This window comes from Homo sapiens, chromosome 20, assembly GCF_000001405.40.
Source record: "Homo sapiens chromosome 20, GRCh38.p14 Primary Assembly".
Lineage (NCBI taxonomy): Eukaryota > Metazoa > Chordata > Mammalia > Primates > Hominidae > Homo > Homo sapiens.
Genome location: NC_000020.11, coordinates 58163891 through 58180826, shown reverse-complemented (window position 1 = coordinate 58180826; position 16936 = coordinate 58163891). Strand labels below are relative to the sequence as shown.

Here is a 16936-nt window from a genome sequence, read left to right as displayed (position 1 = left end):
CCACAGAAAGAAGCAGGAGGGAGGGACCACGGCTAGGGTGAGGCAGGTGATGCCATCGCCTTGGGTGCAAAATTTAAGGAAATGCTAAAAAAGCACAACTCCCAAAACCCTGTAATCAAGATAGAGGATATTTTAGTGTGACTTTGAAAAAATCAAAATCAATGCAAAAAAATTCATGATATACAAAATATTAAAGCTTTTTTTTTCTTTTTTCTTTTTTTTTTTTTTTTTTGAGACACTGTGTTACTCAGACTGGAGGGCAGTGGCGGTGTGATCACAGCTCACTGCAGCCTTACCTCTCTGGACTCAGGTGATCCTCCTGCTTAGCCTTCTGAGTAGCTGGGACCACAACCGTGGGCCACCACACCTGGCTAATTTTTGTATTTTTTGTAGAGATGGGGTCTCACCATGTTGCCCAGGCTGGTCTCCCACTCCTGGCCTCAAGTGATCCTCCCCGCTCAGCCTCCCAAAGTGCTGGGACTACAAGTGTGGGCCACCTCGACTGGCTTAATATCAAAGCTTTAAATAATGACAGATAAATAACAGCGCTGGGCCTAGCCGTATTGCAGCCCTAGGCAAAAGGACAAATCAGTACTACTGATCCTGACTTCATTTACAGTTTTGATATTTTGTTCTTGGATATGCTTGCATTGATTTTGAATTTTCAAAATACGATTTATTTTGAAGAACGATTTTTTGGGCTCTCCCTTGAATTTCCCACCCCATGTCATCCCCTCTCCTGGCTGTGGCGGTGGGGGTGGTGCATCTGGCAGTGACCGGCTGACCCGGGAGCCAGGGGTGTGGGCAGTTCCGGGGGCCACCCACGCGCGGGGGTGTAGACGCTGCGCCGTCCTGCTTCCCCCTAGCCCTGTCCTCTGGGGACAATCCTTTGCAGGAGGTCGTTCATCAGTGTTCCTCAGCCTGCGCCAGGCCAGCCTCCCGCCTTTAAGGCGTGCATTGTTTTTCAGCCTGGCCCCTGTGAGACCCCAGTGCGTGGCCGGGGAGGGCGCTTCACCCACGCGGCGCGGGAGCAGCGCGGAGCCCGCAGCTGAGGTCCCGCCCGGCGCCCGGTTCCTGCAACTCCAGGCGTGGCCAGCAGGGGGCGGCGTGGGCACGCTCGAGGCCCCGCCTGGGACCCGGGGCATTTCCTTCCCTCTTCCGCGGCTCTGCCTTCGTGCAAACGACCCTGACCCGGGGACAGCCCGGGTACTGCTCTTTAACCCCCTGCTGCTCAGGTCCGGCTCCTGGGGAGGGAGGGGCTCTGTGTTCTGGTCTTGCGGGGCAGCAGCGTGCTTTTCTTGGATCTGAATTGGGAAACCATGAGCAGACCCAGGCACTCAGTGTGTGTTGAATGTTCCCTGTATCTCCAGATTCTTCACGCAGCCTAAAGAGGCGGCCAAGCCTGTAAGTCTCACTTTGCAGATGTAGAAGCAGAGGCTCAGCAGGGCAGATCTCCTCCCGAAGTCCCGGGACCATCAGGTAAAAGGTCGAGTCATACTCAAGTCTCCCTGCTCCACATCTGAACGCATGGCCTCTGTCACCTTGTCTTGTGAACAAGGCTGGTGTGGACCCAGGATGCAGGGTCTCCACTGAACTCCGGGGGGTTGCCGAGGTGGGAGCGTGACCAGGAGCCAGGGCGGAGTGCATGACCCTGCCCCTGGGGCCCCTGTCCTGTTTGTGGCAATGAAGAGTGAGGGAGAAATACGGAGAGAAGAGGAAGCATTTTGTGAATGGCTGCAGCAATATGAGTCTCCACTCCTAGGTCCACCTTCCAGTCTCCAGGGGGAGTCCCTGGAGAGCCTAGAACCTGAATTGTCTGTGTCCCCACCTCCAAGCACAGATCCAGCACTGAACAGCACCTGCACTGGTTCTGCCCAGTTCCCTGTACTCACCATTCCAGTCTGGACCCACATCCCAGGAAGCTAAGTTCCCCCAAGAGCAGCCCCCAGCCAGTGATGGTGGGAACGGAGGATAAATACCCCAGCTCCCTTGCCCCACAGGTGAGATAACCCTGAGGGTGTCCAGCACCTCTCCTCTGGGGCCCATGTGGCAGCTGGCCTTGATGACACCTTGATTAGCCTCCTCAGTCTCACCTGCCTACTCCTTGGACTTCCTGGGACCACCTCCCCTATAAACTACCTGCCCTCAAATCCTCACTTCAGACCATGCCTCTGTTAAGCAGAGACCCTTGATACCACTGTGATGGTGGTGATGTTAACATTCATTGGTGCTGTTTCTTGAGCACTTACTGTAGGCAGACGTTGTGGAAAGGGCTTTGTGGGGTGAACTTCATCAAATCCTTGCAACAGCCCCATATTGTGATGAGGAAGCCGGGGAGGTGGTCACGGGGCTGCTAGGATTCGAACCCAGGTCTGGAATGAGGGAGTGAATAAGTGATGGGGGCCTGGATTCCTCCCAGGACAGTGGCTTAAGATGGAAACTAGATATTATGGAATGTGGGCATGTTTGGGGAAGCCAGGAGCACATCCCAAGGCTTTCAAGAGTCACTCCCACAGAGGGCAGTTCACTTTCTCAGTCCCGGCCAAGTCTGGCAGGGGAACCCTACTTTCCTCTTTGTGTGTTTTATGTCTCACTCATTTTCTACAGTAGGTAAATATGCATTAATTTTCATAATTTGAAAAGAAAACCATAAAAAAGTAAGGCTTTCAGATAAAAGCACACTTGGACACGTTAGTTGGGAAAATGTAGCTAAAGGGAGCTCCTGGCAGGATGCTTGGTCAAGGGCGGTTTCTGGGATGAAGATGCAGCCGATGACTGAGAGGCTGATTCGAGTTGATCCGTGGAGAAGCCACACCTCTCAGCCTGCACCCTGTGCGTGGCGCCACATGGTAGTGGTGGCTGAGGCTCGGCGGACTGCTTTGGTGAAGGAGATGAGACCTGTGAGAGCTGCTTAGCGATTTTTGTTGCAAACTGAGGAAGTATCTGGGGTGGATTAGGGCCCAGACTAGGGAGGGAGCTGGGATTGCTGTACTTTCACAGAGGGTTTTCTTTCCCAGGGTATGGGGCCAACACTTGGTCATGGGGCTTTGGTTTCTCCAGGTGTAGGGAAGGACCCTTGGCCCCTCTGCTTCAAGGCAAGCCCGTTGTGTCTGACCCCAGGCAGCAGGGGAGGGTTTGGGCCCACTACCCTGGTGGTCCTCCCCGGGGTGAGGACAGAGGCTTGAGAATCCCCCACTTGGTGAGGGGGAAGGAGGGAATTCTGGGAGTCAGGAGGGTGACAGGCCCTGGCAGGTGGGGGTCTTGGCTAGTACCTTCCTGCCAGAACAGGATTCCACAAGCCAGACAGATGGGGGAGAAGGTGGGGGTGGGGGAAGACTGACGGCATGTGACAGCGATGGCTGGGTTTTTTGTTGGCGTCTGGCTGGTGACCTTTTGGGGGAATGGATTCAGAAGTGACTGCTATTTGTCAAGGCCCAGTTCAGAGATGCCAGTGGGGGTCACCTCCTCAGGATTAAATGTCAGGGCCCTACTGTTGCTGGAAGTGGGATATACATCCCTGCAGGACACAGGCTGGTTGGGGCTTGGCAGTCTCCTGAGCCCAGGCGTGTCTGCAGAAATGCAGGTGTGCCTACCTCATGTGCTGTGATGTTAATTTGTGACTTGCTCTTGTGTGTGTGTGTGTGTGTTTCCTTTCTCCTCTTCCCAGAAGGCAGTGGAACTCCTTCATCAGGGTTTTGTGGTATGGAGTGGGGGACTGAAATTGCCCACTCCTGGTTTTTATTTTCAAAAGGAAGATGCCTTGTGGGGGGCATGGCTGAGATAGTGAGAAAAACAGCCACCAAGCTGGGAGGGGGTCCTAGGGCTGGGGGGGCCACAGCCCAGTCTCACAGCTTCCTGGGCAGATGGCAGAGTCTGCATTGGTAGGGCTGCCAGGAATTCCTGCCAGGCTAGACCCTGGATGCCCAGGCCCCTGCTTCTCCAAAGCCCCTCTGCCTCCACCTCTTGGCCTCTGCCCTCAAGAGACCCTTAGGGTCTATGTATATCAAGAGCCTAGGGACCAGAGCCACACCTCAGGGTTTGAAGTAGGCTGAATCACTTTGCTGGTGGCCTTAGGCGAGCCTCATCTGCGATAGGAATGGTGCCCCTCTGTAATCTGCAGTCAGGATTATTTAAACACATAAAGCACTTAGAGCAATGCCTGGCATAAAAGAAGTGCTCAATAAATAGTTGCCCTTGCTGTTCTTGTAAGTGATGACTGACCATTGTGAACTGAGAGTTCGGGGCTTCCCCAAGAGTTTGGCTCCATGCTAGGCCTCTGGGGCTTTGAGAAGGTGCGGGCGTAACAGCAGCCTCCATTTGGCTGGAACTGAATTTCTCATCAGCCCAGGGGCATGGGGGCTGGAGGCGCTTCTAGGGGGTTGGAAGAAAGTGGGGAATGAGTATCTCGAGAGCCCCAGTAAGCCCCAGACTCATGACCCCCTCTCGTAAGAGGCTCCTCAGATTGGGCCTGTGGTCTCCAAGGGTAATGGTGGGGACAGCTGGCAGCCACTGCGAGAACCCACCCTGTGAGTCATCTGAGTGGGTCCCCCCAGGGTCTTTTGAAGTCAGCTATGAGACCCCCATTTTATAGGTCAGGGCCCCATCAGGGGCTGCCCAACACTCATGGCTGGAGAGTGGGGGACCAGGGATAGAAGTACGATCACCTCCTTCAGGGCCTCTGCACATTGGACTCAACTGCCCTTATGGGGACACTGACTTCCCAGGGGGGACTTGGGCACAGGGTCTCCGCTGTCAGGACCAGCTCTACTCAGGGCGCAAGCCAAGCCAGGACCTGGTGCCCCAGCCCGGCCTAAGTTAGTGATGGAAGTGAGACCTGAACCCAAGCCAGCTCCCAGCTGGTGACTAACATGGGGACTATCACCACCATCCCCCTTGTCCATCCCGTCACCCAGGGACAGAACAAGTGACCACACCAGGACCCTTCTCTATGGGACAGATGCTAACCTGCAGTATGGGCATAATCTGGCCCTCTCCTGGGTAGATGGAGCTGTGGCCCCTTCTCAAGTGATGGCTGCTGTTGGAGGAATCCCTATTCCAAGCTCCAAGGCACAGCCCCTATGGTGCGTGCCTGCCGGGGCATAAACGCAGAGTCCATCCATGTCCTCTCCACACTACAGGGAGGACACAGACGAGGCCCTGATCACTCAAGAGGAAACCGTTCACCTGGGATAATGGGATGCAGTGGCTGCGGGTGGCCAGTGGGGACTTGAACCCATGCAGTCTGGTTCTGCCCAGTTGCTCAGCGCACACTAGGGCTGCTGGGGGAGGTGCTCCTGTCCTGGGAATGCAGATTCTCCCTGTGCTGAAGTTCAGAGAAAGAAAAGGAAGGAAAAAGGAAAATCTTCTTCCCTCCCATCCCCTCCTGTTCCCCGTTTCTCGCTCACTCTGTCTTCCTGTCCTTTCAATGTCTTCCTCCCTTTCTTTTCTTTTTCTGCCTGCCTGCCTTTCTGTCTCTCTCTCTCCCTTGTTTTTGCCTCTACTTGTCTGTTTTTCTTTCCCTTCTCCTCTCTTTCTGTCTCTGTCCCTCCCTCCCTCCCTCTTTTCCTTCTCTCCTTTCTCCTCCCACACCCTGGGGCGGGGGATGGAGGTGGGGGCTGTACTTGTGCTCTGAGCCTGCCCGCTGGCTGTGGGGACCTGACCTTTTCTGCACTGAGGGGAAGGAATGGGGTAATTAGCTTATATAATCCCCGGCCTGCCTGCTGTTTGCTGTGGATGTGGACAAACTCCATGAAAATGTGGACTTCTGGGCTGCTGCTGTGGGATCCCTTCAGAGGGCTCGGTATGCTGGCCTGGGAGGGGAGCAGGGGCTCTGGAAGGCAACTCTGGGTGCGGTCCTTTCACAGCCTTTCCTGGGCTCCCTCCGAGGTGTCTGTGAACTTGTGGAGGGAGTGAGGGTATGGGGAGGGGCAGCAGCTTCCCCAGGGACTCAATAACACACCAGTGCGTTCAGATTCTTTCCAAAAAATTAGAGGAGCGTGTGCCCTCTGCAATTACGTTCCTTCCCTGATTCTAAGCCTGAGAACAGCTTTGGTCTGGGCTGATGACGTTCCCATCCTCCATTTTCTTTCTCCTGAAAGAAAGGAAGGAGCTTTGTGGTTTCGAACTCTCCTCTCCTCGTGCTGCGAAGGTACAGTGACAAGCTGCACTCACACCCGCTTTAGGAGCTTGGTCTCCAGATGTGCTGGGGTAATTTCTGTTTGCATAAAAAAAGTTATAATAAGCCTTTGAGACCCACGTCTGTACAACATCCCACAAACTCAACTCTCGGGTGTCTTGCAACCTGAAGCCAAGGCCTGGGCCTCTATTTCAAAGGCTTGGCAGGAAATTCAATGTATCTGATGGATTTATGCATTTATTATTTCTTTAAAAACTTCTCTAAAGCCGAAGTAATACAGGACAGTGCATGCGCGATTGTGCAGCCCCAGGAGCGTTCACAAACTGAACACATCTGTGCCGCCGGCATCCAGATTCAGAAACAGGAAGTGACCAGCACAACCCCCTTCATGCCCCTCCCAACCACCACCGCACAACGACCCCACCATCCTGGCTTCTGTAGCATTGATCAGATTTGTCTGTTTCTGCACTTTATATAAATGGAATCATACAGCCTGTTCTCTTTCGTGTCTGGCCCAACATTCTGCAGATTTATTTTTATCTCTGATCCCACCAGAGCAGTTTTCCCGAGGCTGGGAGAGATAAGCAGGTCTCCCGGGTGGGGACCGCCGGTGGAGTGACGACCAGGTGACCCGATGGGCACCGTGGATGATGGAGATCTACCGCGGCAAACCGGTGCCTCAAGGGCCTGTCCTGGCCCTGCACTGTGTTGAATTTCACCCGTGCAGTGGGTAAAATATATTCCAATATGTGTATCAGAAATTGGGAAAAATATGTAAAAGAATAATTTCACGCACATCACCCAGAGTTGACAACAGTCATGTTTTTTGAGGTGAAATTAACATGACATAAAATGAACCGTTTTAAAGTGCACGATTCAGGGTCCTTTAGCACTTTCACCATGTTATACAGCCATCGCCTCTATCTCTGCGTCTAGCTCCTGTTCGCTGCCCAGCCCCTGACAACGGTGAATCTGCTTTCTGTTCCTAAGGGTTGATTCCTTCTGGATTTGTATCAACTGGACCATGCAATAGGTGACCTTTTGTGTTTTCTGGCCTCTTTTCCGAGCTTATCCACGTTGTAGCGTGTATCACGACTTCATTCCTTTTAGTGGCTTCCAGTCATTTTTGCTTCGTGTCATTTTTTTTAGAAAAATAAAGAAATGAAACATTACTGGTAAACTCGATGAGTCTGCTGTTCTATAGGGTCACTTCTGTTCCCCAGCTTCATCTCTGGGGGAAACAACAGTCATGAAATTTGTCCTTCAGAGTGTTTTTTTTGTTTCTTAAATTGGGAATTATATGACAAGATGAGAATGTGTTTCCATCTTCTTTGGGCAAATCAGAAGGTCAGACTGTACTGGAGCCCCGCCCCACGGCAGCCATTGGCTGCAGCTTCCTGGCCCCGCCTCTCAGGTGGGCTTGAGTTCTGCCCACGGTCCTGGCCCCACGGCCCCACGGCCCCACGCGGCCCAATTCACTTGTCTGCCGCTTCCTTCCCAGCCTCTGAGTTTTAATCCCTAAAGGATTTCACAGTCCAGGGCTCCCCAAACACTTGTCTGTGCCCCACAGCAGCCTCTGCTGAAGTTTCCTCTTTTTGCAGATATATGAAGAAAATAAAGTCATCACGTCTTTTCCATCAAGATCTGATTTAAGGGTGAGCCTCTATTCTGAGATACCATTTCCCTACCTTCTCAGTTAAAAATGTTCTTTTTTTTTTTCTTTTCCATTTTTTTTTTTTTTTTGAGACAGAGTCTTGCTCTGTTGCCCAGGCTGGAGTGCAGTGGCGTGATCCAGGCACACTGAAGCTTCTGCCCCCTGGGTTGAAGCAATTCTCCAGCCTCAGCTTCCCGAGTAGCTGAAATTACAGGTGCACACCACCACGCCCAGCTAATTTTTGTATTTTTAGTAGAGACAGGATTTCGTCATGTTGTTCAGGAGAGCTCAAACGATCCACCCCCCTTGGCCCCCCAAAGTGTTGGGATTACAGGCGTGAGCCCACCTTGCGCGGCCCAAATGTTCTTTTATGAGATAATTGTGACAGTGAATGAATGAGCCTAGGGGTGCTCAAGCTTTTTCTGTAAAGGCCCAAAGTAAATATTTTCAGTTTTACAGGACCCGAAGTATCTGTTGCAACTACTCAGCACTGTTGTAGCGCCAATGGTAGCCACAGACAATATATACAACAAGCAACAGGCTGTGTGCTGGTAAACCCTAATTTACAAAGAGGTTTTGGGCCGACTGTGGCCGTTGGGCCATCGTTTGTCCGCTGTTGATCTAATAGATGGTAGTGGTGGATATATACTTTTAAGTGTTCTTTACTGGCAAAACCCAAAATTTAGCAATGGTAGAAGTTACTTGTCCCTGTGGTAGATATTACGAGTGCTGATGAAGATTTCCTGTCCCCTTGAAGTTAGGCAAGGTCAGGTGACTTGCTCTGGGCTATGAGATATGAGTAGAAACAACACGTCACCTCCAGGCTGAAGCATTTCCAGGCTGGTGTGCACTGCAAACAACAACAACATCCACCATGGCCCACACAGTCTGCCATCACGGCTGTCTCTACCAGAGGTGTGCATCACAGTGTCACAATGCCTGTTCTTTCACAGAGATGATGGTGCTGGAGGTGGGTGAAGCAGAGAGTTATGCTGAAGGATGGTTGGGGAGGTGGGTGGGGCAGAGGGAGCCGAGACTTGTGCATGGGCTGGGTGGTGAATGAATGCTCTGGTCACTGACTTGCCTGTGAATGTGATGAGGAGCAGAGGTGTGTTGGAGTCGGTGTGGGGGTGGATGGGGCGGGGAGATGCCTGCTGGAATCGAGAGTTTCATTTTTGACATGTCAGGTCTGAGATGCCTTTTAGAGATCCAAGTGGAGAAGTCACAAAAGCAGTTGAAAATATGAGTTTATTTCAGAAATTATCAATTGGAGGCTGCTGGCTTATTGGGTTTAACTTGCATAGTATTTGTTTATTTATTAAATACTATTTATTTATTGAGACAAGGCCTTGCTCTGTTGCCCAGGCACGTGCAGTCGCACGATCATAGTTCACTGTAGCCTCGACCTCCCTGGGCTCAGGCGATCCTCCCACTTCAGCCTCCCAAGCAGCTGGGATTACAGGTATGCACCACCACACCCTGCTATTTTTTTGGTATTTTTTGTGGAGATGGGGTTTCACTGTGTTGCCCAGGCTGGTCTCAAACTCCTGGGTTCAACTGATCCTCCCGCCTCAGCCTCCCAAAATGTTAGGATTACCGGCATGAGCCACGGCGCCCGGCTTACTAATAATTAAAAACATTAAACATTTAAAAGACATTTTAAAATCGGGAGATTTTACATTTATAAAGTCCAAATTGTTCGGCTTCCTTTGGAAGCTGGAAAGATCTGGCTGTGCTGTCCCCTGCTTCCCCAGGCAGTGACCCGTGGCGCTGAGGGGCAGCTGCCCTCTCAACAGGACATGGGTTCTACAGACGCCATTGTCTCTGCCATGCCCTTCAGGATCCTTGATCGTGAATTTACGTGTCTGTTACCATTTATTGTTTTGTTCAGGATTCAGCTTTCCTTGTAGTAGAGAGAAATCTTGACTCCTTCTCCACACCCATGTCTCCACTGAATGCTGGAATAAAACAGTGCAAGAGAGGCATATTTTAAAGAAAGGAGAACGGCATATACTTTTTCTTGCACTTGCTGTGTGTTAGAGGATAACCCCTGCCGTAGCAGCCAGCAGATGAATTTGAACTGCTGCCTGGGAGTGCAGCTGCCACCTGGTCTCTGCACCCCCGAGATCGGGATGGGCCCGGCACCATCTTAGTAGTTCTCTGGCTTTCGTTGGTGCAAGTATTGGAATGTGCTTTGTATTTTTGAATAATTATTTATAAAAATGAGTAGGGAAAACAGGAAATTGCTAAAACCAGAGATGATAAGTAAAGGTGTCTCACACCACTGTTGTCGTAACCACGATGAATGTCATTGTACAACAAGGCGCATCCGTGGCCCATGTGGATGCTCAAGGGAGGCAAATCCAATGGCTTCCTGTTTAGTCTTCAGATTCAGCACCTCTAAAGAACAGGTGTTGAGCTGAAACATGGCACTCACTATTACATCTAAGGCAAGGGGAATGAGGAACTTCGTAAAAATGTTTTCTCTTTATGAGAAGAGAAGCTCCCTAGTGATATATATGGGGATTGCTAAGATTTTAAACACTTAACCTTTGTACATGTTTTTAGGACAGCATTATATTTGAACATTGGAGGTGATTGTAATTTTATCTATCTATATCTATCTATCTATCTATCTATCTATCTATCTATCTATCTATCTACCTACCTATCTATCCATCTTTCTACTTACCTACCTACCTACTTATCTAATCTATTTATTTATTCTCTAGACAGGGTCTTGCCCTGTTTCCTAAGCTGGTCTCAAATTCCTGAGCTCAAACCATCCTCCTGCCTCAGCCTCTCAAAGTGTTGGGGTTACAGGCATGAGCCATTGCGCCTGGCCTGTAATTTTATTGGAATGTGATATTGTGGATATTCTGTGGGACTGTGACTGTCTCAAGGGCTCAATGACCTGACTCCATCACCAGCAGTTTCTTCCTTCTTTTAATAAATGTTGAGCAGCTATTATGGGCTGGGCATTTTCTTAGACACTGTGTATGTAATGGTGAGAAAAGTCAGGCATGATACCTGGAATACCAAGTTACTAGGGGACTCAGATATTTGTAAAAATATCACACAAAAATGCAAAAGTTTTAGGTGACAAACTGTTACGAAGGAGTAGTATTTGTTGCTCCAATGGCGTGGAAGGTGTCACAGGGCTGAAAAAGCCACTCTCAGGAAGGGCTACCAGCTGCTAGCTGGAGATGAGTGGGAGGGTGATGGTGAAAAGGAGAAGGAACTGTTGTGGGGTCTGGGATTTCATTTTACTTTACATATAAGCTCGTAAGTTAGAGTGCTACTGATTCATGGATGCTGGCAGAAGACACAAGACTCCTGGATCAAAGACGAAGGACTTCATGACTCACAGCACAATAAGTAGCCTGCGCTTCAGCATGTGTGTTCCCTTGCCCTCAAGTCCCATGGACATGGTGGGTTTGTGTTACAGCTGAGGAATGCGGAGCTTGGGAACCAACCATTTCATAGCAAGCAGGAAGAAGGCCTGCTCTTTGTCTGGAGGGAGACATTGCCTTGTCCCTAAAGGATGCTGGCTGCAAACACAGCTCTGAAAAAGGGCCCCAGGTGAAGAGCAGTCAGGGACTCGCATCCTTGGCACCTGTGGTGGATTTGCTTTTAGTTTTTTATTGCTGCTGTAATAAATTACTGCAAATTCAGGGGCTTAAGACAGCACCCATTGATCATCTCACAGCTCTGTGGGTCAGAAATCCAGATGGACCTTGCTGTTCTCTGCTTAGGGTCTTACTAGGCCACAATCAAGGTGTGAGCTGGCTTGACTTCTTAGCTGGAGTCTCTAGGGGAGAGCCCACTTCTCTCCCATTCAGGTGTTTGGCAGAACACAGCTCTGGTGACTGCAGGATTGAGGCCCTGTTTCCTTGCTGGTTCTTGGCCAGGGGTGTTTTCAGCTTCCTGAGGCTGTGCTGCCTCCTCATGAGCTCTGCTCCAGCCTCAGAGTATCAATGACAGGTCACGCCCCTCTCATGCTTCAATGTCTCTGACTTCCCTTTCTGCCACCAGCCGGAGAAAACGCTCCACTCTTAAGAGCTCATAGGATGACACCGGATGATTGCACTTGGATAATCCAGGCTCATCACCCTGTCTTAAGGTCAAAGATGCCATAGACCCTAACATAACCATGGCAATGACATCTCCCCATAGTCACAGTTTCTGGGGACAATGATGTGGAATCCTGGGTGTGCAGTGGGGACACTTTTAGAACTCTACCTCCCACGCCTGGCAAGAGGTGTAGGTGTGTGAGAGATCCCTGGAGGACAAAGGTGAGCTCTGGGCAGAGGGAGCAGCCTATGCCACGTCTGTGGGTGGTTCCCTGTGAACTTGTGCGATGCCACATGGTCCTCTGGTGGCTCTGGAGTCATGCAGGGTAGGATTTGAGGTCTGGTTCCACTGCTGTGTGACACTGGGCAAGTCACTTCACCTCATATAGCTTCTGTTTCTCCCCCTCACATGGGGGCTTATACAGGATGGAGGATGCAGGGTTGCTGTGAAGGTGGAATGAGTTTAGCACAGTATCTGGCTGCCAGGAGCAGCCTGCTGGTCTGCAGATACAGGATGGACCACCCTCCCCACAAAACCTTGTCCAATGCAGACAGGGACGGGACACACACCGAGAGGTAGGAAAAGTTGATTACTTGCATCATGAGGCTTCCAGGGGAGAGCAGAGCAGATTTCCCAGCAGGTTTGAAAACGGCTGGAGAGTGCAAGGAAAGGAGGCCGGTTGGGATTTTTATGGGGCCTGGGGTGGGCCTGGAGGATGGCTGGAACGGCCCCCTCATGCCAAAGGGAAGAGCACCTGGGCTTTCTTACCAGCTTCCCCAAATGGGGGGCAGACGGACAGATTTAAAGAGTCAGCAGGCAGACATCAAAAAGTAGGGTCAGACTCTTTAATACACTGACATTTGGTAGGACCCAATAAATGTGAGCCATTGTTTTTGTACCCTCCTCCTCAGTGGCCGTCCAGCACCAGCCCAGGTTCAGCCCTGGCCATGCACCCCTCCTGCTGGGCACCCTACGTCCAGGCCTCTGGTGGGGCCGGCCCTTCCCCATAGCACCATGCTTCCCACGGCACGAGTGGCTCCTCCTTCACTCCTGGGTCAACACTGCCTGTGTATTCTCAAAGGACAGTTATCGTCACACATCGAGAAGCAAGATTTACTTCCTAATTAAAAGGGAGCTTTCTGAACAGTAAATCAATCAATCATAGCCATGCACAAACACTCAGACAACAGTTGCTTACACTTGTGTTTAATTTCTCAGGGGGAGCAAGCAGCTCTCTCTGGGTGCCGGGGATTCCAGGTCTGTGGCTTACCCAAGAGCCCTCGTTTGAATTTCATCTAATCAGAATCATTACCCACCCATGAAGAACACAGCTTATTAACCACACGATCATCTCCTAAAACTAAGGCCCTGTCAGGTCACCTCATAGTCATGCAATTAGGCTCAGCAAGCATAAAATCCAGAATTGTTTTGGGACCCATTTTTAAAGTTTAAGTGAATGGCCCCAGAAAGGTATTAAATATTATTTTTTTCAGTGGGCATGAGAGAAGTTTAATTTATTTTGTGTTATTTTGAAGGAGCACCCAGCTTTCTCTTGAGCCCTGGCAACGGCCAGATTTAAACATGGATAGGTGCTGAAATAAATGTAGTTCACTTAATTGAAAAGCCTGCTGACGGCCTAATTCTATGGGCGGTAGAATCATGTTCATTAACAACAACAACAAGAGCAGCAGCAGTAAAAGTAGCACCAGCCAGTCTTTGTTGAACCTCTTGGCCACGCCAGATGTTTCAGCAGGTACTTTATCACCAGCGTCTCATTTGATCTTCACCCTGTTTCTGAAGAATCTCTTGCTTTGCTGCAAGAGATGAAACTAACATTGTGTCTGCACATCTGCTCTCTGCCAAGCCCTTTCCCCACGTATCCTTCTGTCACCCCCATGGGTCCCCATGTCACAGCTGGGGAAGGCAGAAGTCTGAGAAGTCCAACCACCTGCCCAAGGCCACACCCCTGGAGTGGGGAGTGTCGGGATTTGAACGCAGACCAGCCCCACTCCTGAGTCTCCTCCTCTCACCTGTTCTCCTGCCTCTCCTTTTCCGCTGATTCAAGAGAAGGCATTTCCAGCCCTTGGTGGGCCTCTACAAATAGTTTTTAGGTGATAACTTGGGACTAGGGATTGTGGATTATTTTTCTGGCTCTGTCCCCAAACTAAAAATGACAAATGTCACCTGGAAGGCTGATCCAGCTTCTGTAATTTTTTGAAATTAAATAATTTTTACTGATACCTATGAGTAAAAATCGGGTCCTCATACATTGGTGGATCATGGTCTTCTCAGTCCCTTGTCCTGGGAACATCTCCATTGAGCATCTCATGCTATTGCAGGTGGCTTCATCAGAGAGAGTGAGATTGTGAGAGAGAGAGAGAAAGTGGTGGAGAGAGAGAGAAGGAAAAGGAGAGAGAGAAAGAGAAAGAGACAGAGAGAAAGAGAGAGAGGAGCAAGCTGGCAAGATGAAAGTCAGTCTTTTGTAACCTAATCTGGGAAGCGACAACCTATCACTTTTGACATATTCTATTCATACAAAGGAATCACTACATCCCACCCACCCTCAAGGGGCAAGGACTACCCAAGGATGTGAATATCAGGAGGTGAGGATGCCAGGGCCATCTCAGAGGCTGCCTGCCACATTGGCCAAAGTGAATTGAAGCGATCTGATAATTACCACCACACATGAGGTCGTGAAAACTTCATTTTCAGGTTCTATAGCGGGCTTGTTTTGTTAACTGTCTTTACCATGCGGCTTCCATTCCCCCTACTTTTGGGAACCACCTTCAGATTTCCATCTGGGAGATGTCTTCCTCTGGTTCGACTTACGTGCCCTGTGCGCTGTGGCCTACTCCATCTCAGGGGTGGAGCCAAGGACTAAGCCAATCAGTGCACTTCATTTCTTGGGCCACACTGATGGGTTCAGGAAGGGATATGTCACCCAATTAGAGTCAATGAGACTTTTGTTGGGAATCCTGGGAAACAGCCTCTGGGCGTTCTTCCTGTTCTACTTGACGCTAAAAGCAAGAGAAGTGGGGAGCTGCTGCATCTTTGTGACCACGAGGCATGTGAAGTTCCGGTGGATGTTGCACTGCCTCCTACTACAGAGTCACGATGCAGCGTGGGAAGGGGTTGGCTTGTTTGGCCCAAGGGAGATAAAGCCATGATTTACTCAGGAATGAGGATACGATACATTTCTGGCCAATGACACCCTCCAGAGGAGTTGCAGGGATGAGTGGGAAACCTTTCCCTCTTTCTATTGCCAGAGGTGAACAGGAAAGCATGTGGCCTAGGCCGCTGACGGTGCCCATCCTACAGCCAGGAAGAAAGCCAGCCTTTGACGAGGCTGGCATTGGGAGTGGCATGGCTGAGAGAGGTGGTTAAAAGCATGCAAATCCTTGCTGAATTTAAGTTACTAGACTAGCCCTGGTGCTCTGCCTACCTGGGGACCTCCTGTCTGTGATCTAAGAAATAGCCTTGTCATTTCAACAATGCTGAGCCATGTTACTTGCAGCTGAAAGCAGTCAGATAGACCAAACTGAAGGAAATTGGAGCAGAAAAACCCTGGGTCTTGGTGATATTGCTTGAATCCCTGATCAAGCTGTACCTGAAACCAGACCTACTTTTGAGTTTTCCAGTTACATGAGTCAAAACATTCCTTTTGTACTTAGACTAGGGATTGAGTTTCTTCCTCTTACAATCAAGAGAGTCCTGATCCAAGTTCATAACGAAAGGCAGATCCAAAAGAACCAACCTTACAATATTTTCTGTTGATGGCAACATTTTATGTCCAAAATCTCTTATCAGTTTCGAATTCTAAAAAGCTCTAAAACCTAGAAATATTCTCCTTAGTTTGACACCAAGATTCATTTGTTGGCAGAACCTGAACCAAACTCATATGTGGCTCCTTTGAGTCTTTATTTCATTGAGTGTGAATATTCCTCAGTTTTGTTATAAAATATTAATAGATTTCATTTCAAGGGGCTGCCTCAGACCTTGCCAGAGGGGTTACATATAATATATAGCATATGCAGTTTCTCAAATACACAAAATTATAAATTCCCCAACAATCTGGTCCCAGGCTTTGGGTACTGAAAACCCAGAGTCCATCATGACAATGATACTCAGGTGTGGGTCGATGTGTAAGGGAATAGTTGTGTTTTCCAGTAATTTTATTTTTTAGTTGATCATGTCATTTTCTCCTAACTCAAATTTAAGAGTTTCTAATTTGTCTTGGGCTGAAATGTGCTTGTGACAGAATCCATTCCGAGTCTCCAACCTAATTATGTTTTGCATCATTTCAGAGATGGTTCATTTTGACCGAGGCCCGTCTGGTGGTTCGTTGCTGTGATGTATTTCGGCATCATCGACGCAGGTTCACCAGCCTCATCTCGACCTTGGAAATGTTGCGGTATTTTACAGTGTGTGGTGACATTTATGGGCCCATTTGGACACCCACAAAGAGGTTGATTTCCATAGATTAAATGTCAAGTTTGAAGCCATCCAGGGTAATTGAATCCTTGAATGTTGTCCACTTCGATTCTCAGCTGGGGCCGTTGACTGGACATTTGTGCTCTGTTACAAACTCTTGAGTGCAGCCCAAATTGCTTAATGCCAAAAGGTCACTCTGTGAGTCCAGGGGGAGGGTGTCGGTAGGGAGGACCATGGCACTGGAGTTTGATACCTGCAGAAATGTTGCCTTGTTTTTATTTCTTTAAATGAAAGCACATATGTGGTTAGTTGGTGAATACATTACCGGGGACAGAAGAAAAAAAACCCCACCAACTAAGACTTCCTAGATGTCAGTTAGTTTAAAATATCTAACCATCTATGTTTTGTCAAGAGCAAAAGGCTAAAAAGAACTTCACTGTAATGTTTTAAGTAGGAATAGTTTTAAACGGCATTAAACACATATACATAAACTTGGCATGAGCGTCATTTAAATTGAAGGGTAGCAAAAAAGCATCAAATAATTTCTGAGATATTGAAACGTATTCACCTGCTGATTGTCCAGAGAACATGTGTGTCTTCAGACTTTGGATCTGAGTGTCTTGAATTTTTGTCCTCACAAG

General features: G+C 49.4%; 1 long non-coding RNA gene across 3 annotated transcripts, besides 2 other annotated features; it reads left to right on the top strand.

Moving 5' to 3' along the window:
* Positions 986-1045: a silencer, noted in NCBI's record as "silent region_13068". NCBI's record gives its function as "represses an Ori minimal core promoter by ATAC-STARR-seq in GM12878 lymphoblastoid cells {active_cell/tissue: GM12878}" and the evidence as "EXISTENCE:reporter gene assay evidence [ECO:0000049][PMID:35858748]".
* Positions 1148-16366, top strand: LOC105372694 (uncharacterized). 3 transcript variants are annotated; one of them, XR_936926.3, is made up of 3 exons: positions 1148-1235; positions 1371-1479; positions 16169-16366. It is a non-coding gene; the product is annotated as an uncharacterized LOC105372694 (long non-coding RNA). The 3 variants fall into 3 exon arrangements; XR_007067679.1 differs by lacking the exons at positions 1148-1235; positions 1371-1479 and adding an exon at positions 5595-5800; XR_001754691.1 differs by lacking the exons at positions 1148-1235; positions 1371-1479; positions 16169-16366 and adding exons at positions 5595-5800; positions 6403-6627.
* Positions 4640-5140: an enhancer, noted in NCBI's record as "H3K4me1 hESC enhancer chr20:56750743-56751243 (GRCh37/hg19 assembly coordinates)". NCBI's record gives its function as "activates a minimal SCP1, AML or CMV promoter by ChIP-STARR-seq in naive H9 embryonic stem cells {active_cell/tissue: H9 hESC(naive)}" and the evidence as "EXISTENCE:reporter gene assay evidence [ECO:0000049][PMID:30033119]".
* Positions 16367-16936: the final 570 nt, after the last annotated feature.